Below are 21,575 nucleotides of genomic sequence, written 5' to 3'. Positions count from 1 at the left end.
TTAGGATATTGACATATTATTTTGTAATCAGAGAAAAAATTAAAAATTATTATTGATTGTGCTGTATTGTTCAGAGTGGTAGTTCAAAGGATGAGTATTGGATTGATGAGAGAAATGCATCAGTATTTATAAGTAAACAATGCATCAGTATTTATAAGTAAACAAATGCAAGAACTGAATGAATTCATGGACACATTTAAAACTCTTCAGCTTGGAACCTGTGGAAAACAGAAAAAAATAAGAATGGGAGAACTGGGAATTATAAAGCAGCCCTTTCACTTTTTATTGGCTCGATTGTAGCCTCCCTTTTGAAATTTCAGTTTTGGTTATCAGTCTGTTCCAGTGCTATCTCTGCACAGCCCCATTATGTCCCAGACGCATACATCCCAGCAAAAGTGAATAGGGCTGTGCTACTAAGCTCTCTGCAGAAACAGCTCTTGCCCTGCTTGCCCACTGAGTTGTCATCACTTTGTTTTCCTCTCCGTATCTATTACGGATGGGCCCATTCCTTCTGCCCAACAGAAAGGGACAGGGAGTTCCACCGAAGCAGCAGGTGACAATTACACCGAATACAAACGAATTTACAAAAGCCACCAGGAGAATAATTTTCTTCCCATTTTCTAGTTCAGGTATCTTCCAGGCTTTGATGTCTATAGGTGGATCGGATGAGACAACAAAGACATTAAATAAATTATTACCTAACAAAATAATTTGTCTAAAGTCAGTGGGATATACTATAGGCTAAGCATTAAAACAGATCTAAAATTGTTTCTGAACATATTATTTGCTGAAGTTTAAACCACTTCCAAACTCCCCTCAGATTTGCCTTAAATTAAGTAATTGTACTGTATGTAGTTCCTCCTATAATTATAAATTACTTAATTTGTATGCTTTTCTTTTTCTTTTTTTTTTTTCAACTTCTAGTTTCAGGAGTACATGTGCAGGTTTGTTATATAGGTAAATTACATGTCACAGAGGCTTGGTGTACAGATCATTTTGTTAACCAGATAATAAGCATTATACCCAATAGGTAGCTCAGTGATCTTCACCCTTGTCCCAACCTCCGCTGTCAAGTAGGCCCTGGAGTCTGTGGTTCCCTTATTTGTGTCCACGTGTACTCAAATTAGCTCCCGCTTATAAGTGAGAACATGTGGTGTTTGGTTTTCTGTTCCTGCATTAGTTTGCTCAGGATAATGACCTCCAGCTCCTTCCATCTTGCTACAAAAGATGGGAACTTGTTTTTTTATGGCTGCGTAGTATTCCATGGTGTGTATGTACCATATTTCCTTTATCCAGTCTACCACTTATGCTCATCTAGGTTGATTCCGTATCTTTGCTCTTGTGAATAGTGCTGCAATGAACATACAAATGCATGTGTCTTTATGGTGAAACTATATATATATTCCTTTGGCTCTATACCCAGTAATGGGATTGCCGAATCAAGTGGTAATTCTGCTTTAAGTTCCTTGAGGATTTGCCAGACTGCTTTCCACAGTGGCTGAACTAATTTACATTCCCACTGGTAGTGTATAAGCATTCCATTTTTTCTCCACAACTTTACCAGCATTTGTTATTTTTTGACTTTTTAATAATAGCCATTCTGATGGGTGTGAGATGGTATCTCATTGTGGTTTTTATTTGCATTTCTTTAATTACTGGTGATATTGAGCATTTTTTTCACATGCTTTTTGGCCACATTTTCTTTTGAATAGTGTCTGTTCATGTCCTTTGCCTACTTTTTAATGGAGTTTTTGTTTTATGCTTGTTAATTTGTTTAAGTTCCTTACAGATGCCGGATATTAGACCTGTGTCTGATGCATAGTTTGCAAATATTTTCTCCCATTCTGTAGGTTGTCTGTTTACCCTGTTTATAGTTTGTTTTGCTTTCCAGAAGCTCTTAAGTTTAATTAGGTCCCATTTGTCAATTTTCATTTCTGTGGTATGCATTTATTTTTCATCAGAATGTCATTGGATGAAATGAGAATGCAATGGGAGTCCCATTGCTGATAAAACTGGAAAATGTTTGTGCGCTTAGTTCAGCCTGCACCCAAAACTTAACCTTTCTTGTTTACACTCCCAGTTTTGACTTATCTCATCTTTGTGGGTAGTTCCCTCTAAAATTTAGATTTGAAACACTGTACACTTTCTAACTTCAGACTCAATTTTTCAGGGATCCCTAGCAAAATTGCAATTGCTGAATGTCAAGACTACCAACTCATCCTTCTCTTGTCTTGAAGTTATTTCTTGCTTAGCTTAGATTGTATGGCCCACCATTTCATGACTGACTCTCCTGGAAATAGCCTGACTCTCCTGGAGAAGAAATAGCCCAACTTTTTTTTTTTGCTCCCTCCATTGTATTATTTGAAAACACCCAAATTCTGTTTGAATACAAATACCTGTCTCCTCTGTGAGAGTTTGAAACTTGTCAGAAAAAAATCCCTTAATAAAGTTATTGGTTTCACATTAAATATATCATCACAAACTTCAGATGTAAATTCAACACTATTCAGAAATCTTACTGTGTGATGTCATTAAGGTAAATGGGCCCATATCCACCAAGTTTCCCAAGATGGAATCGGAAGAATCATATTTGATTTCTACATTAATTTCTTCGTTTCTTCTTCACCAGTATATCTGCTTGACTGTTCTCCCCAAATTTGTCTACTCCCTTTCATTTCCTCTGCCACCAACCTGCTTCAGGCCATCTCTTGCCTGGATTAAATGACAGCCTTTCCCTGATTGCCCTGCTTCTGCTCTTGTTTCCATATCTCTCTGTGCTAAGGCCTTTTTGACTCACTTGACCTGAAATGATCACCGCATCAGGATTTCATATATGTCCTTTTGTATAATTACCAAAGGTTTCTGAATTTATGTGTTTTATATTTTATTTCTATCATCAAAATAGTAAAATCTAAAACTTAATTTAGAAATACATAATATATGCACATGGTTCAAATTTTAAAAGCTAAAAATGTTATTTATTAAAAGTAATTCATTCTCTGTATCAGTTAGTATTATTTTTGACTGCACATAATAGAAAGCCCAAATAGCAGTGGCTTAAACAAATTAGAATTTTCTTCTCCTTCGTGTAAAGGAAGTTCAGGGGTGGACATCTAGAGCCAAAATCAGATCATCACAAAGACATCAATGCCCCAGTTTATCTATTTCTGCTTTGTTATGTTCAGAAGATGGTGGGGCATATAATCTTCATTTCTCAGCTGAGTTAGTTCACATCAAAGAGTCTTCTTGGAGGCTCCACCACATGACATCAATTAACATCTGGAGTCTGGGAAGTGTCATATTTTTGCAGTATATGTGGGTACCCCAATAAAATCATGATGTTTGTTACTAAGGAATAATAGGGAATATTGAGTAAGCAGTTAGCAATCTCTAATATACTATTCTATTTCTGTCTTTCAAGCACACATTTGTCCTTCCCAGGGCCAATTATTACAAATTACTTGTGTCTCCTTCCAGAAGCAACTTGATTATACATAAGAATATGAGACTATATACACACATACTTATGTATTTTTATATATAGAGTATAAAAATATTTACATGTATTGGATGTATTTGTATCTATGGATACATACACTTATGAGTTCATTTGTGCAGCATTACAACATAATTTTGTGTGGCTTTCTATGCTCTGTTTGTTCTTCTCGCATCTCTGCTGAACAATATATCTTAGGAATTATGCAAATACATTTAGAGATACCTATTTTCTTTTAAAAATCACATAATTAGAATAAAATCTTGTTGAAGGCAGGAGCCATGCTTGTCTTATCACCATTGTATATAATGTCAAAGTTTGAAGAGCTTAGTACATAATTTCAGAGCTGGGATTCAAATTTGCATTCAAATTGAATGACTTTATTCCTATGCTTATCCACAACCTCAATATAATAAACAAGGTTGGTAGATTTGTCTGTATTCAACTCTTTTCACATTCCTTAGGAGATAAATATATTTGTTAGTTTAGAAAAGTTAATAGTTTACTGAACTTGATTTTCTAAAATCTTGTTTAGAATTGCAATACGTATAGTCATATTCATCAGTGTAAGTGGAGACTAGAGAGGAGTCATTTAGAAAACAGACATTAGATCAGGTAGAGGAGGTTTAAATGTGGCTGGCTATGTGATTTGGGGCAAGGCTTTCTCTGTCTCTCCCCTACACAGTGGGGATAATAGTTTCTAACCTGAAGAGTTGCTTTTTCATATCTAAGGGAGATGATTGAATGAGAAAAAAGTACATAAAACTTCAGTAATTTAGGTCACTCAGAAAGCACTCAAAACATTGGAGTTATTATAAAGGAGTTGCTCTATAATCTCTTTTTCTGTATTTTCATCCATGTCTGTGTGTCAGACTTACATACCAGATTCCTGGATTCTGGGTTCTAGAGAATTTATTATCTTAGTTTCAAACCACTTCATCCCTCACACCCCCACTTCCTACCTGTTGGAGCACAATAAGACGGGTTTCCCCAGGGACACAGTTCCTCCTCCTCCAAGTCTCTGCTTCCCAAGCCATGTTTTCCCAACTGTGTCTAAGAAGACGGGTAAGAGAGGGTAAAGAGTTCATAAAACCCTCATGATTTATTCACCAAAATCCTAGCATGGCCACCCCTGCAGCAGTTACAACACTAAGAGCTCGTTCTTTTGCATCCTCTGTAAGTCCCAGGGCCAAGGGAGGGGAGCCTAGGCTATATTGGACCTAGATAGGAAGAGTGACCAGGAGGATACGAGGCAGGCAGGGATCCTTTCCTTATAGGCAGAGAGGTGGGAAGTGTGGCAACTCGATGCATTTTGATCCTGAACACTTCAGTAAACAGCCTCGTAGATTGTATTTCTTCCTTCTGCCTTCAGATAAGAGGGTTTGATTTTCTTACTTGGGTAGGGTATGTAGTGCAAGTGAAAGATTGGGCTTCATCTTGCCTGACCAGGAACAGAAGGTCTATAGATCCCACAATGGGATAAAGGGTATAGAGATAGAGCAGAGCCAGGCATGCTGGGTCAATTATGTCACTGGTCACCTGGATCATGGGTTCAAAGAAAGTATTGATGAAGAAGCTGGTCAATATTTCCCTGAATTCTGTCTCAGAAGAGCAGTTTAAAATAGAAAAATATAACTTTCTTTAGACTGTTAGAACATTCTTCATATTTAATCAAGATCATTTTTTCTGTGATTTCTCTCTAGTGGTCCTTATTTTGCCCTTTTCCCCTAATAGCCATTCATAAATGTTAATGTTATCATTGATATTCTTGTTTTCTGGAGGCCACACACATACAATGTAAAAATGACCCTCCTCCTTCAGTAGAGAGCAATGCCTCTTATCATCCTGTGACTATATGACTGTGTCTCAGTTTGCCAAAAAACTTTTTAATGCATAGTGCCCTGTATTGGATAGTCCACTCCAGATGTACTAATTGGAACCGGATTGAGAAAGATTCTCAACTACTTTGCTCTTGGCATTGTACTTCTGACATTAAATTAATACACATCAAATACTCAGAAGAATGTCTGGTACATACTAGATACTTGGTTCATGTTGGTTAATATTGCCAATCCAGTTTTAGAAACAATAAATTAGTTTTTACTCTATGGACCACATTATTGACTTATGTTTATATACGTACTTCCACTTGCTGGAACATCTAGGAATCTGTTCCCTTTTCTTTTCCTCCTGTTCCAGACTTTCTCACTCGTCCACACCCATTTTCCAATGTTCAGTAGTGAAGAAATGGACTTTAACAGAGTTAGAGCCTAGGTGATAACACTGGATGGGTGGAGGCAAGTGTCCTGGGCTCATTCAGGCAGTAGAGCTTTGACTCTTCATGAGTAAAAGGCTAATGTGTGATGACTGGAAGCAGATAGGAGGATTGATCCACAAATGTCATCTGAGGAGCATGAAGAGATATGAAGATTATGTCAAACAATGCTAGAAAAGGACAGAGCATTAAGGGGGATGTACCTCAGGGATGGTAAAATAGAATGTTGGGGGATGAGGTTCAAACAGAGGGAAGACTCACATAGGAAGATGAGATTTCTGTTTGGATAAATTGGTAATGATTTTGACAGGATGAAATTCAAAACAATTCTTACCAACATTAGGAGCAAGTGGATCATTTTATGTTTATATTAGGAAAAGGAGAAGACCCATTAAGTCAGAAACCTAGCACAGGGCTTTTTCATCAAGTAAGTGGGTGAATCTTGGGGGGCACCTGTGAGCAGTGGCATAAATAGATCCCTGAGTTCCATCATGTATTCTGTGCCATGCCCCGCTTCCCTCTAGTCCACCAGACAACCCCCCTGTGGCTACCCTTTACAACACTGATCAGAACTGCCCCTCAGCCCACTGAAACTGTGGTTAATTCTCCTTTCTCATTCTTCCTCCTTAAAATTTTCTATCTATGTTAAACACCAGGGCCAGTAATGCCAAAATATTTTTCAGTGGGCTTTTATTAAGAATCTATGGGGTGTTAGAGAATGTAGTATGTACAAATGGAAAAGTACCCTTTATCTGCCCTCTATTTCACAGCAGAGTGGAGGGAGATAGAGAGGTACAAAAACAACATGCTAAGGTTTACAGATAAAATTTATTAATAGTAGAAGTGGCTTCCTCAGTGAAGTAGCTACCTCAATTATCTTACTTTCCTTCTGAATATTTACTCTTTCCCTGAACATATAAACATACCACAGTATCTTTCATTTCCGCCTTGCTTTTTCTTCTATTATAAGTTTGAAATGGACTTTAGCTACACAGTCAACTTTCCCCATCTACACTTCCTCACTTACTAGTTCTCCAGCTCCCTTCATTCTGGTTTCTGTTGCTACCAGTCAAATGAATCTCTCTTGGCCAGGTTACCAATGACACACCCTTATTATAATATTTAATGAATATTCACTGTCCTTATGTTATTGAACTTCTACTTGACTAACAAGTTAGTAAAACCCTTCTTGAAATTTTCCCCTTGGTTTTTTCTGGGGCATCTTATTCTTAAGATTTTCTTTATACCTTTCTAGCCCTTCCATTTATGTCTCCCTTTTCTTTTTCCACCCCTTCAATGTTACTATTTTCTAGGGTTCCAATCTTAGCCTTGTGCTATTCCAACTCTACAGGCTATGTTCTAATGCTTTCTGAATTTATGTCCTAAACTACGATCCTTCTAATTTTCTCAAACTCTTCAGTTTGAAACAGCCGAAAACAAATCTATGTGTGGCGATTATAAACACCTCGTTCTTGACATATCCCAGTACACACTAATCTTACTCATTTAGCTGTATTTTACATCTTGGTGATGCAACTTATTTACTCAAGCTAGTAAACCGGGGGTCACTCTGGGCTTCTCACCTATTTTCTCCTTTAAAACAAATCTGTCAATAAGTTCTGTCTATATGACTTCTGGAAGATTCACCTTCTTCCCATCCTCAGTGCCTCAGCCTTTGTTCAGTTGCACGTCACTTCTCACCTTGGCTATTGCGGCCGCCATTCTTTCTATTTCTGCTCTCTTGCCTTACCCAAGTTCATGCATAATAATGTGTCCAGAGTGATCTTTCTGTACGTACCCTAAATCTGGTCATGTCTCTCTTCTAATGGAAATATTTTTTTCCATTTCTTTTCATCCATATGACTAGTTCTAAAATCTTCAGCATAGAAAATGTACTTAAGATCTGGCTTTTTCTTTTATCAACTCCATTTTTGGCTCTTTCTTTCAACTCCTCATCCTTTTGGCTCCAGTCAGATTAAATATTGCATAGAATTTCCTTCCAAAGTTATTCTCAGACTCATCTCCATGCTTTCACATAATCCATTTTTTATATCTTCAATACACTACACAGATTTAATGCATGTAAATCCTCCACATCTATTGAAATAAAACTCAGCTAAGTTGTTAGCAGCTTTAGGAAAGCTTCTCTTTTCCTCTAGGGTTGAGTTCAGAAATTTTCCTTTGTGCCTTCCTATTATTCTGCTCATATGTCTAATTAACTCACTCTACAAATATTTTTAGCCATTTCATGTCAAGCACTGGGCTAATTGATGTTATTTTCATGGCATGAAATGTCTAATTGGGCATTGGAAGAAGGAGTATGTAAGCAACTTATCATATAAATGTATAACTACAGATGATGAGGATGGTTCAAAGTACTACAGAAACATAAAATAGGAGGACTTGATCTTGTGTAAAGGGGGTTAGAACAAACCTCTCAGAGAAGAGAGTATTTGAATTGAGATGTAAAGGATGAGGAGAAAGTAAGTGTTGTGTAGAAGCATAAGATGCACAGCCTTCCAAGAGAAGTGGGATCAGAAAGCTCATGTAACGTTCGAAGATCTGAAAGGACGGTGTGGCTGAAGCTCAGGGAGCAAGGGAGATGGGGTGTTAGATGGAACTGGAAAATGAGGAAGGAGGTAGATAATATATGGCATTGCCTGCTTTCCTTCCTCCCCTCCCTCCCTTCCTCCTTCCTTTTCCTTCCTTCCTTCCTTTCATAATGTAGTCAGTTAACTATGTGTACCTAGCAATCTATCTATACCCTGTTTATATAGTGATGATAAAAGAAAAACCACACATGGTTTCTTCCCTCATGAACTTATGGTCTCATGAAGTTCAAGTAAAAAATTTCCTTTTTATAATATTAGCAATGAGAAGCCACTGAAATATTTTAATCAGATGACTGGTAATATTTATATTTAAAAACATTTCCTTGATTTCAATGTAGAGAATGGTTTATAAAGAAACCTAGACTGCATTAGGAGGCAATATTTACTTTTTACTCGAGGTAATAGTACTTGGATGGTGAGAGTGGATATGGAGAAGTGGATGGATTCCAGGGCTAATTAAAAGGGAAAATGACATGTCTTAGTGGTTTCATCATGTACTTCGTATCATTTTCAATGGGTAGAATAAATGTTCAAGACATTTTCTGGGCGCTGGCTTCTAAAACTGACAAATATTTACACCAGTCACTGAGATGCTGGCAAAAGACCAGGTTTTTAAATTTTGGACTTGGTGAGCTTTGAATATCTTTGGGAAACCCAGGTTGATACATAAAGTAGGCTTCTGGAGAGGTCTAAGTAAGAAACATAATTCAGTAATTTAGTAATAGAGATGGTAATTGTCTAATGACATAGACAAGATAAAAGAAGTGGAAGAAGGGAAAACAGAATATCAGAGAGGAAAGAAGAAAAGCGAAGAAAATGTAGGACTGAAGCTTTAAACTGACGTCAAGGTAGTGGATGATGGATGTGTTCGAGAAAATGAGAGGGAGTGACCAGGAGGTACAAGGTAAACTAGAAGTCTGTGATATATGAATTAGGCCAAAGAGAGTGTTTCAAGGAAGAGGATTTGATCAACTGTTTCAACAAGATTTAACAATAGGGAAGCTGTAGGTGATTTCTGAGAGCTATTTTGTGGAACTAATGGAGATGGAAGCCAAATTGAAGTGAGTTGTGGAATGGATGTAAGGTGAGGGAATGGAGACAGTGAGTGTAAATGCTTGTGAGAGGTTTGTGCATGAAGGGAAGGGGAGAGTTAGAGAAAGAGCCAGAATTCAAAGCTGGGAGAGATGGGATCAATTCTTGAAGATGGACAGATTATTTATTTTAATGAAAGGAAACAAGAAAAGGATGAGAGTATATACACATTATTTATAAGTCTTACAAAATTTTATATAAATTTATAGGATCAAAGTGCAATTTTGTTCCATGCATAGATTGTATAGTAGTTAAGTCAGGGCTTTTAGGGTATCCATCACCTGAATGATGTACATTATTCTCATTAAGTAATTTCTCATTATCCACCCCCTCTCACCCGCCTCACCCTTCTGAGTCTCCATTGTCAATCATTTCACTCTCTACATCTATATGTACACATTTTGAACACATACTTATGAGTGAGAACATGCAATATTTGTCTTTTTGTGTCTGGCTTGTTTCATTTAAGATAATGGCCTCCAGTTCTATCTACGTTGCTGCAAAAGACATGATTTCATTCTTCTTAATAGCTGAGTAGTATTCCATTGTGTGTATGCCATATTTTCTTTATCCTATCATCTGTTGTTGAACTCTTGGGTTGATTCCATATCTTTGCTATTGTGTATAGTGCTGTGATAAACATACCAGTACAATTATCTTTTTGATATATCGTTTTCTTTTCTTTTAGGTAGATACCTAGTAGTAGGACTTTTGGATGTAAGGGTAGTTCTATTTTTATCTCTTTCAGGAATTTCCATACTGTTTTCCTTTGAGGCTGTACTAATTTACATTCCCACCAATTGCATATAAAAGTTCCCTTATACATGTTGGCATCCTTGCAAATATCTGTTATTTTTTGTATTTTTGATAATAGCCATTCTGACTAGGGTAATATGTATCTCACTATGATTTTAGATTTGTAGATTTTATTTTGAAAAGTTGAGGAAAATTTTACTGATTACTTTCTACTTTCTCCATGACGTGGTATTTGATGTCACCTTCTGAAAGAAGTAGAGTTTCAGGTTTGAAAAAAATGAAGACATTTGGGAAATAATTTTTTCTAGAGGAGAAAGTTGATTAGGGAAGATTTGTAGGGTGCAATATTTATTGAAGGCACATTTAAGGTTAATGATCACAAATTTATAGTAAAACTAGCCTCTTCTTTCCTTTTTTTTTTTTCAGTTTTATTCCAGGAGCACTAGGATGTTCAGGCTCAGGTTGTGGGAAATGAATAGTTATATTCATATAGATTGAAGTTTTAGCAAAGGGATGACTTAATCAAATTTATATTCTATTTTCTTCTAGTATACCATGAGTTTGGGTAAGAGATGTAACAAAAATATCCATCTCAAATTATATTGGTGTATAGTAGAAAGCAAAGACCTAATTAAAGCTATTTTTCTCCAAAATGATTTATTAAAAAACTTATCATCTACCATTGCTTTTCTTACACTGGTAACATACTGGCCTAATTTGTTGCGTGTTTGTAATATGTTTTAACATATAGTGAGGTTACTGCCTGTCACTACCCTTTTTTTTTTTAAACTTCATAGGTTTTTCATTCATTCATTTTTCTTCATAGACCACACCATTATTTATCAAGTCTCACAATTCTACCTTTAGAATATTGGCTGAAATTTGCCTTACTTGGCAAAAGTGAACTACCTATCATTGGCTTCCTAAAGAGTAAGTGAAAGGGATACTTTTCAAAGCAATTTGTAAAAATAACCTCTTGTATCTGCCCATAAACATAGTCATCAGAAGCCTACTCAGCTCATGATTCAGCCTATGGCGTCACCCAGCAACAGCTCCACTGTCCCAGTCTCTGAATTCCTCCTCATCTGCTTCCCCAACTTCCAGAGTTGGCAGCACTGGCTCTCCCTGCCCCTCAGCCTTCTCTTCCTCCTGGCCATGGGAGCTAACACCACCCTCCTGATCACCATCCAGCTGGAGGCCTCTCTGCACCAGCCCCTGTACTACCTGCTCAGCCTCCTCTCCCTGCTGGACATCGTGCTCTGCCTCACCGTCATCCCCAAGGTCCTGGCCATCTTCTGGTATGATCTTAGGTCGATCAGCTTCCCTGCCTGCTTCCTCCAGATGTTCATCATGAACAGTTTCCTCCCCATGGAGTCCTGCACGTTTATGGTCATGGCCTATGACCGTTATGTGGCCATCTGCCACCCACTGCGGTACCCATCCATCATCACTAATCAATTTGTGGCCAAAGCTAGTGTCTTCATTGTGGTGCGGAATGCGCTTCTTACTGCACCCATTCCTATCCTCACTTCCCTGCTCCATTACTGTGGGGAAAATGTCATTGAGAACTGCATCTGTGCCAACTTGTCTGTGTCCAGGCTCTCCTGTGATAATTTCACCCTTAACAGAATCTACCAATTTGTGGCTGGTTGGACCTTGCTGGGCTCAGATTTATTCCTCATCTTCCTCTCTTACACCTTCATTCTAAGAGCTGTGCTTAGATTCAAAGCAGAGGGGGCGGCAGTGAAGGCCCTGAGCACATGTGGCTCCCACTTCATCCTCATTCTTTTCTTCAGCACCATACTGCTGGTTGTGGTGTTGACAAACGTGGCCAGAAAGAAGGTCCCCATGGACATCCTGATCCTGCTGAACGTCCTTCATCACCTTATTCCTCCTGCATTGAACCCTATTGTGTATGGGGTTCGGACCAAAGAGATAAAACAGGGAATTCAGAAGTTACTGCAGAGAGGGAGGTGAATATGTAAAGCATTTCTAATACCTCCTGTTCTTCCTCTTCAGTGATTTTACCTAGGCAGCGAAGTAGAGAAATGTCAGTTAGTGAGTGTTTATTGCATGCACTGAGGCTCCCTTCATTACTGAACCAGATTCCTTCCTTTACTTTCCTTGCCTAGTTCAGGTGGAGGTAGGCAAGGGGAAGAAACTCGTATTTATTGAGTGGCTGCTTTGAACCTTGGCAGTTACATTTAAGTAATTTAATCTTCAACACATCTCTGCAGGCATTGTTACTTTCATTTCACATAGTAGAAAAAGAGATGCTTTTAGGAAGGGAAATGACCAAAGATCACATATGTGGGAAGCAAAAACAATAAAACCTAGGCTCTTTCTACATAGTTGAAATGCCTCATCAATTGCAATTGAAGCTCAAGACCAGCCTTTGCTTTCCTTTGACCTGTATTTTGTCTTTCTGGATGTCGACAGGTATTTTCTGCCTATTCTTACTTCTTTGAGACCAAAGGGACTTCTCAGAGAAGGCAGAGTCTTGCTTGACAAAACTTCTGCTGGGCAAGAAGAAAAGAACTTTATAACAATATAAAGCAATGTCAGCTTTCTATTCTATCCTATACAGCCTCATCACCTTAGAGAGAGTCTTGAAAGTGAGGATGGATGCAGACAGGTAGAGGGGACCCTAAGAGAGTAGGAAACAGGAAAGCTGACTAGGACATTGTGTTGGCCACTTTCCCTATATGTTTAAGCTACACATTCAGTGAACTGAATATCAAGTCTTACTTGATCTGTTGACTGCCCAAGTGCTGTAGTTGAATGTGGAAAGATATGTCATAGTGTCAGGTTTCTGGATAATAATGGTTCCAGTTAGGTGAAAAAAAACCTTACACTGGTTATTTACAGATAATTTAATGTAAACAATTGTTTAAGTGGGTATTGGAGACAATGATGAAAAAAAGGAGGTTCAAGTAACAGATAAACAGTATCTATGGGAAGAAACCTCCACTTGGAAAGAGGTTGGGTCATTAGAACCTAAAAGGCTAGGAAGTGGCCCATAGAACTGGATCTCAGATATCTGAGGAAGGATGCTGTCCCTAATTGGTACTTATGCCATAGGACCTCAGAGGATGTGGCCCTCAGAGCTGGGACTAAAACCTTTGAGGATGGGACACTACCTTGATGGTGCTGGTATTTTTGAGAGAGTTCAATAAGGCTGGGAGTTAAACAAAAACCAAAACCAATCAACCAACCAACCAATCTGGAGACTAGAATCAATTCCACTTCCAAGATAAAGAGTTGCTGCTAAGGAATACTGACAAGACAGGAACAGACAGAAAGAGCAAGTGTCCCTCTCCATGTTTCAACCTTCTAATGTTTCTGTTGCTCTCTGTAGGTAGAAACTCAGAGAGAGACAGCTGGCAAAGAAGGGTTTGACTCCCAGTGCCAGCATGACAGAGTACAGTATGGACGGCAGGCTTGGGACTGAGAGATAAGTGTTAGTAACTGGCGCAGCTCCAATCTTATGTGGGTCTGAAAGCTTGTGACTACTGAGGAGCACCTATAACATCACCCTGCAGTGCACTGTTCCTACCAGGGAATTAGAGTCAGAATCAAGTCCCCTAGTGCAGGTGGGTGGAGAAACATGACATCATGTTTAGAGGCAGCATTCATAGCTATGAAGGAATTGACATGAAGCTGGTAAGAGGAGTAAGATCAACTGCCCCACATTGTGGGGATTAGATAAAGTAACTGTAACCCAATGCTGGTGTGGGCTCTAGGAGGAGAGTTTCTTCCAGTCACTCAACAACAGTAGGAAAGAAAAATTATACCCATTGGCTTACAGGAAGGGGCTCTTAGTACCTTCAGGCTTGGCTCTCATTGTCTCAAGCCAGAGCCACAGGTTCAACTCAGTATTTGTCATATTTTAAGCACAGAATTCTCTAATAGAACTTCTCTCCATTTCACAGTTGCTAAGAGAGTTTTATCTCTCACTGTTTTCCTATTGTCCCTTAGATGATATAAAGGCCAACTTCACCACTGATTTTCTAAAATAATACTTATAATGAAAATCCAAGTTCATGTGTTTTGAGCACTTGCAATATACCAATGTCTATGAATAATAATATTTAATTTTCATAAGAGCCTTCTATACGTGATCATAAAAGTGAGTTTTTAAAAAGGAATCTAATAGGATATAATTCATAGGAATATAATACATCTGTAATCAGGTGATATTTTCAAGCATTTGGTCAACTCCATTCGTCTTTCCAGGAGTGCTTTCCCTGCATCTGCCATGATTTCACCCGGAAGCAAGCCCAGAATGAACTCAAAGAGGAGTCTATGTTATTTGGCCAAAACTCAGATCTTAATTCCCGAACCAGACTTCTGTAGATCAATGCAAATGGCCAACACAATTATGAGATGCTTGACTCAAACTGGGTGTACATAGGGATAGAAACTACCAACTTTGTTGTAGGGATTTGTAAAGGATGGAGGGACCAAGACAGCAGTGGGACAACAGTGATCACCCCTCACAGTAACTAGCACAGCTCTCACATATTGAGGGGCTCAGTAAACATTTCCTTACTTATGATATTGAATTGGCTAAAAGAAGAGTTGAAAAATCATGTCTATCTTTAATCTCTAGTTCCCCAGTAGTAGAGTCCTAAACGTAACAAATGGATAAACCACATACTTGAAAAGTTGGCTCTCTGCTCTGGTTCTAAGTATAGAGGTTTAGAGGACCACAGATTTCTCACAAAATTGTCAAGCTCACTGCAAGTGGTAAAATAACTGGTCTCAAGGGTCCTAGATAGGCTTTGAAGTAAATCCTCATACAGATGATAAAGGAGCAAGATAACCAAAGAATCAGACCATGAAGGGCAGACCCAACTCTGCTGTGAAGTTCCCATAGCAAAATGTTAAAACATGTCCTCTCTGTAAAGGTTTTCAAGCACTGTCTTGAGTGGATATAATGAAGTAGTATAAATTAAAGGCATTTTAAATGGATGGGGTACCAATGTTTTGTCAGTTTTTCAAAACTGAGGAAGTCTATGAAGATTTGCTTTGCTGATACAACCTGAATATGTTCCAACTGCATTGGAAGAGGGTGCATTCAGAACATGAGAAGAGAGACAGGAGTAGCTTTCCAAAGGTCACTCCCCTCACTCCCTGGTTTGCAGGTTAGTCATATTTGTGTGAGGAACACAGCCTCTTGAGCAGGAAGATCTGATATCATTGCACATTGCTATTCAATACCATAGCTGACTTAAATCAAGGCCAGTGGAAAGAAAGAATAGCAAGTCCTCTGGAATTAAGGTGGAAAAAGAAGGGACCCTATGTTGGTAGCCAAAGCTCAAAACAAACACCTAAGTATTGTTGAGGGAACAATACTACACTTTCCATTTATCACAGAAAGCTTTTTAGTGCCTAGCCATCCTGATACTTTATTATGCTTTGGTGTATATTCTAGGCAGTGAGAGTTCTGAGACATCAGAGAAAGTTTATAGCATCAAGACTGCAACTGTAGAACTTAAACAGCAACGTCTGAAGTTAAGCAAACTCTTCATAGTTGGCAAGTCAACATTGCCCCTTTGTGGCTATTTGTGGGAATAACGGTACTGTATTGAATGCCAGTTCTCAGTCTCAGGTGTTTGAAAGAGAACGTGACAAGTCCGTTTAGAAAACTCCTGTACTTCCTGCTCATAGGGCACATAGGGACTTGAGTGATTAATTTAACAAATAAAAGAGACATACCAATTTATACCATGATTTTCTTTTCTTCAGCAACATTTAAAAGTCAATACCAAATCACTGACATGAGTCAGGTATTCATAAGAATAGTGAATATCCTTAGTGTTTCATAACATATTACACTATCAGCATTTGGCTGAGTACTGTATATAATAACAACATTTCTGCACCTATTCAACCAAAAATTAGTTATTGAGTTCTTTACGTGTGATTAGCACTCTGAACATACAGGAAAACTAAGTTTTAGAGAGATTATGGTCAAAATAGCCCATGAATTATAATTCCCATTTTTGCAGATGAGGCAACTGAGCAAAATGATAAATTATACATAGTCATTTAATCAATAGGGACCAGAGTTAAAATTGAGAAGTAAGGCATTTTGCTACATAAACCCATTTTTGCTTCTTCAGAGTCTAGGGATTGAGGTATATTTTTAATCTTTCACTGGATAGCTTTGTAGTTTCCTAAGTTTTTCATACTCCAGATTATAGATATCAAAGGCAGAGTACACTAAAAACCCACACGCATTGAATTAGTCAATGCAATTAAAGTTAGCTACTGTAACAATGATAGCACAGTGGCCTAACACAATAAAATTTACTTCTCACCCACACCTCATTCCAATGCATGAGGGCTTTGCTCCACATCAACATTTAGGGACCCATGCTTTTTTTATTATGTGGATCCTCCATGTTCTGGGCTCTTAGAGACCTTCACTGGTGCTTCTGAATCTGGGTGGCAAGCCAGAAAGAGAAAGAATATGCAGGATTTTGTAAGCTTTAGGGCCCCAAACTAGGAGACACATCACTTTCTCTATCATTTCATCGGCCAGACTCCTCACATAGATCCAGCTGCTTGCAAAAGAGCCTTGATCATAAATTTTCATTTCTCTTTTTCCTACATAGACAATAGGCTTACCTCCTTATCAAGGGAGACCACCCAAGCTCTCATCTGATTACTCTATGCAGCAAAAAATCCAAGACCTACAGATGTGTGTGGCCTTCTCCATCAGATCCCATTGTGATTTCTCTTTCACCAGTGATATTCTGTCTCTCTATTAATGGCGGAGCAGATGATTTCCAACTGGAAATGAAGTGTAGAATTCAGTTAGCAGTAACTTAATAGTAATGCGAGAATGCTTTAGGAGCAGATATTGCAATATTTTTACTTACTGAGAGGGGGACAAGTTTCTTGACTAGACATTGTTTGCGTTCTCTAGGAGGAACTCTCCTGATCATTGTTTTCAATGTCCTGATCATTGCTTTTTATTGTTTTTTTAATGCCATCTGCCTTTGGGGGTTTGTGCCTTTATTAATGTTCCCATTATCCTAAATGTGCCTTTATTAATGTTCCCATTATCCTAAATGAAGCAGGCATCGAACAATGTGACTTCTTTTGGAGTGACACTGCATTTGAACCTACTTTCTACTTATAAAATATTAGTATCAGTACTTTAAATAATTTTTTATTTAATTATTCATTTTAAAATTGATACATAATAATTATACATATTTATGAAGTTACATACAACGTGTAGTGAGCAGATCAGGGTAATTAGCATATCCATCATCTCAAACATTTATCATTACTTTGTGTTGGGTATATTCAATATTCTTTCTTCTAGCTATTTGAAAATATACAATATATTGTTGACTATTATCATCCTTTAGTTCTGTAAAACACTAGTACTTGTTTCTCCTTTCTAATTGTAATTTGTGTAGGATCAATACATTTTTTAAATTCTAAAGCAAAAACTTTCTTCAAAAGTCAAGTTCATGTTTCTTTGGCAATAAACCCCCTCGAAGGCCTAATAGGTTTTTGATCTATCTGTATCAGGTCAGTTCAATGTGCTAGTGATCACACTCAAAGGATTTTCTTAGGCATAATTTCCATTACTTTTCTTTTCTATATTGTCTTCTCCCTTTCTCCATGCCACTCTTTTTCTACTTAATGATGTTTATTTTAAGGCTGTCAGACTTGAGAAGGACTGCTATACACATCATCTAACTTTTTCTCAGGCTGGATTTCTGTGAGTCTTCTTTACTCAAAGAAATTCTAAAATTTTCTCTTAACTTTTGACCTCCAAAATGGGCAAAAGATGGAAGCATTCCCCTATAAAACTGGCACAAGGCAAAGATGCCTTCTCTCACCACTTCTGTTCAACATAGTATTAGAAGTCCTAGCCAGAGCAATCAGGCAAGAGAAAGAAATAAAGGCCATCCAAATAAGAAGACATGAAGTCAAACTGTCTCTGTTTGCAGATGACATGATTCTATATATAGAAAACCCCACAGTCTAGGCCCAAAACCTCCTCCAGCTGATAAACGTTAGTAAAGTTGCAGGATACAAAATTAATGTACAAAAATCACTAGCATTCCTACATAACAACAACAGCCAAACTGAGATTCAAATTAGAAAGGCAATCCCATTCACAGCTGCCACACAAAAAATAAAATACCAAGGAATACAGCTACTCAGGGAGGTGAAAGATCTCTACAGTGAGAATTACCAAACACTGCTCAAAGAAATCAGAGGAGATACAAACTAATGGACAGACATCCCGTGCTCATGGATAGGAAGAATCAGTACCATTAAAATCACTACACTGCCCAAAAGCAATTTACAGATTCAATGCTATTCCAGTCAAACTACCAATGACATTCTTTACAGAACTAGAAAAAACTATTTTAAAATTCATATGAAACCAAAAAAGAGCCTGAATAGCCAAAGAAATTCAGTTCCTAGTTTAGGACTGTTCAAACATATACTTGAAATCTGCCTTGACATTCTGCTATGATTATGTTAAGATCCTGGTATTTGATTGGAAACAATGTATTTTCTGCTTAGCTTTTGAGTTTATGCAGAATTCTTGTGGTCTGTCAAGAGATGCCGTTGTTAGTATGTGGTGGGGGAGGAGAGATACCTGAGTCAATACTCTTGGAAAAAATAAACCTTGATACATTTTCTGAAAAAGTCACTAGAGCTCTTACATTTACCAGGATGCTTATAATAGAATTAAGACTGTGTCCTATTTAAGAAAGAGGTTGAGAGACTTTCCTTAAACCTATGCTTATCCCTGGAAAAGTAAATGCTGGTTTGCCTGTGGATAGAGCCAAGAGAGGGATCAAGGTCTCATTTTTACTTGAATTCACAGAGTGACTGACGAATTGAATACTGTGCCTAAATGCTTTTGAGAAAAAGCCTTCTGACATTCACTTTTGGCTTAATGAGAACTTGAATTTTAAGTTTAGAAGTCAGGTTTAGTATCTTAGTTATGCTGTTGCCTGACATATTGTCTTTTTAAATTGGAAAGACAATTGGGAGGCAATTTAATTATGGGGGTGGGTCTTTCCTGCACCCATAATTCTCATGATAGTGAATGAATCTCATAAGATCTGATGGTTTAAAAAAACTAGAGTTTCCCTGCACAAGCTCCTCTCTTTTCCTCCCACCACCCATGCAAGATGTAAGTTGCTCCTTCTTGTCTTCTGCCATGATTGTGAGGCTTCCCCAGCCATGTGGAACTGTAAGTCCAATTAAACCTATTTCTTTTGTAAATTGCCCAGTTTCAGATAAGTCTTTATCAGCAGCATGAGAAAACGGACTAATACATGATGTATCACATTTATTGATTTGCATGCGTTGAACCATTTTTGCATTCCTGGGATAAATCCCACTTGGTTATGATGTATTATCTTTTTGATGGGTTGGTGGATTTGATTTGCTAGTATTTTGCAGAGGATTTTTATATCTATGTTCATCAAGAATATTGGCTTGTAGTTTTTTTTTTCTGTCGTGTTGTTGTTTTTGGTGTCAAGGTAGTAGTAGCCTTGAGGAATGAGTTAGGAATAATTCCCTCCTCTTTAATTTTTTGGAGTAGTTTTAGAAGAATTGGTGTTATTTCTTCTTTACAAATTTGGTAGTATAAGGCAGTAAAACTTTGTGTCCCTGTGCTTTTTTTTGTTGGCAGGCTTTTTATTACTGATTCAATCTCATTACTCACTAGTGGTATTTTCAGGTTTTCTATTTCTTCCTTGTTCAATCTCATTAGGTTGTATATGTCCAGGAATTTGTCCATTTCCTCTAGGTTTTCTAGTTTGTTAGTATATAGTTCCCAATAGTCACTGATAATATTTTGTATTTCTATGGTATCAGTTGTAATATCTTCTTTTTTGTTTCTGATTTTATTTGCATCTTCTCTCTTTTTCTTTTGATTAGTCTAGCTAGAGGTTTATCAATTTTGTTTATCTTTTCCAAAAATCAAATTTTCACTTTATTTTTTGTCTTTTTGAGGCTTTTTAAAGTTCTATTCTGATTTTTATTGTTTTCTTTTACAAATTTTGGATTTTGCATGTTTTTGCTACTCTAATTTCTTGAGGTGCATTATTAGGTTGTTTACATGAAATCTTTCTACTTTTTTGATATAGGCATTTACTGCTATAAACTTTTCTCCTAGCACTGCTTTTGCTGTATTCCATAGTTTTTGGTATATTGTGTTTTCATTTTTATTTGTTTCAATAATTTTAAAAATTTTATTCTCAATTTCTTCATTAACTCAATGATCATTTAGGAGCTTGTTTAATTTCCATTTATTTGTACAGTTTCCAAAGTTTTAGTTTTATTCTACTGTGATCTGAGAAGATTTAAAAAATTTGTTGAGATTTGTTTTGTGGCCCAATACATATTCTATTTTGGACAATGTTCTTTGTGCTGATGAGATGAATGTATATTCTACAGCTGTCGGATAAAATGTTTTGTGTTATTTCAATTTAGTCTAAAGTGCATTTGAACTCAATTTTTCTTTGTTGACTTTCTGTCTAGATAATCTGCCTAATGCTGAGAGTTGGGCGTTGGCGTCTCTGCCTATTATTGTATTGGTGTGTATCCCTCCCTTTCAACCTAATAATAATTACTTTATATATCTGGGTGCTACAGTGTTGAGTGCATATATATATATATATATATACACACACACACACATAATTGTTATATTTGCTTGCTGAATTGATCCCTTTGTCATCATATAATGACCTTCTCTGTCTCTTTTTACTATAATATTTATGACTTAAAATCTGTTTAATCTGACATAAGTATAGTTACTCCCGTCCACCTTTGGTTTCAATTTGCATGAAATATCTTTTTCTATCTCTCCACTTTCAGTCTATATTTATTGTATAGGTGAAGTGAGTTTCTTGTAGGAAGCCCATAGTTGGGTGATTAAAAAATCTTATCAGCCAGTCTACATCTTTTAAGTGGAAATTTAATTTGTTTACATTAAAAGTTATTACTGACAGATGAGAACTTATTCCTGCCATTTTGTTAACTGTTTCCTAGTTGTTTTGTATATCCTTTCCTCCTTTTTTGGATTTGTGTCCCCACCCAAATCTCATGTCGAATTGTAATCTCCAGTGTTGGAGGTGGGACCTAGTGAGAGGCGATTGAATTATGAGGGTGGTTTCTTGGTTAGCAGTATTTTTCTTTCAGCATTTTGAACATAGCATTCTATTCTCTCCTGACCTGTAAGGTTTCTGCTGAGAAATCTACCCTTAATCTGACAGATGCTCCCTTAGATGTGACTTGATGCTTTTCTCTTGCTATTTTTAGAATTCTTTCTTCGTTTTAAACT

At 37.3% G+C, this 21,575-nt stretch overlaps 2 protein-coding genes and 1 long non-coding RNA gene across 5 annotated transcripts in view; 1 reads left to right on the top strand and 2 right to left on the bottom strand.

Moving 5' to 3' along the window:
* Positions 1-565: 565 nt before the first annotated feature.
* Positions 566-16,956, bottom strand: LOC107984303 (uncharacterized). Its single transcript, XR_001748102.2, has 4 exons — positions 16,868-16,956; positions 5,640-5,900; positions 4,459-4,549; positions 566-650 (listed from the first exon to the last, which is right to left on the bottom strand). It is a non-coding gene; the product is annotated as an uncharacterized LOC107984303 (long non-coding RNA).
* Positions 4,618-19,620, top strand: OR56A1 (olfactory receptor family 56 subfamily A member 1). Of its 2 annotated transcripts, none has more exons than NM_001001917.5 (2): positions 4,618-4,672; positions 11,230-19,620. In NM_001001917.5, exon 2 carries the CDS (start codon positions 11,264-11,266, stop codon positions 12,206-12,208), a length of 945 nt encoding a protein of 314 aa, NP_001001917.3. In that variant the 5' UTR covers positions 4,618-4,672; positions 11,230-11,263; the 3' UTR covers positions 12,209-19,620. The 2 variants fall into 2 exon arrangements, with proteins under 2 accessions (NP_001001917.3, NP_001375417.1); NM_001388488.1 differs by lacking the exon at positions 4,618-4,672 and adding an exon at positions 8,198-8,254.
* The window catches only part of OR56A3 (olfactory receptor family 56 subfamily A member 3), a 79,760-nt gene continuing 75,130 nt past the window's right edge, over positions 16,946-21,575 (bottom strand). Inside the window, exon 2 of one of the 2 annotated variants that reach the window (XR_007062481.1) lies at positions 16,946-17,032. The gene's annotated coding sequence lies outside the window, so the exon portion shown is untranslated. The remainder of the gene's footprint in view (positions 17,033-21,575) is intronic. The other variant, XM_047426926.1, reaches the window with a different exon arrangement.

The sequence above is a fragment of the Homo sapiens genome, chromosome 11 (assembly GCF_000001405.40).
Source record: "Homo sapiens chromosome 11, GRCh38.p14 Primary Assembly".
NCBI classification, from domain to species: Eukaryota; Metazoa; Chordata; class Mammalia; order Primates; family Hominidae; genus Homo; species Homo sapiens.
The sequence above is the reverse complement of the archived record's forward strand: the minus strand, read 5'-3'. Positions and strand labels throughout refer to the sequence as shown.

Excerpts from the sequence above, each read along its gene's own strand:
- OR56A1 (NM_001001917.5), top strand. The coding sequence starts at position 11,264 with ATGGCGTCACCCAGCAACAGCTCCACTGTCCCAGTCTCTGAATTCCTC.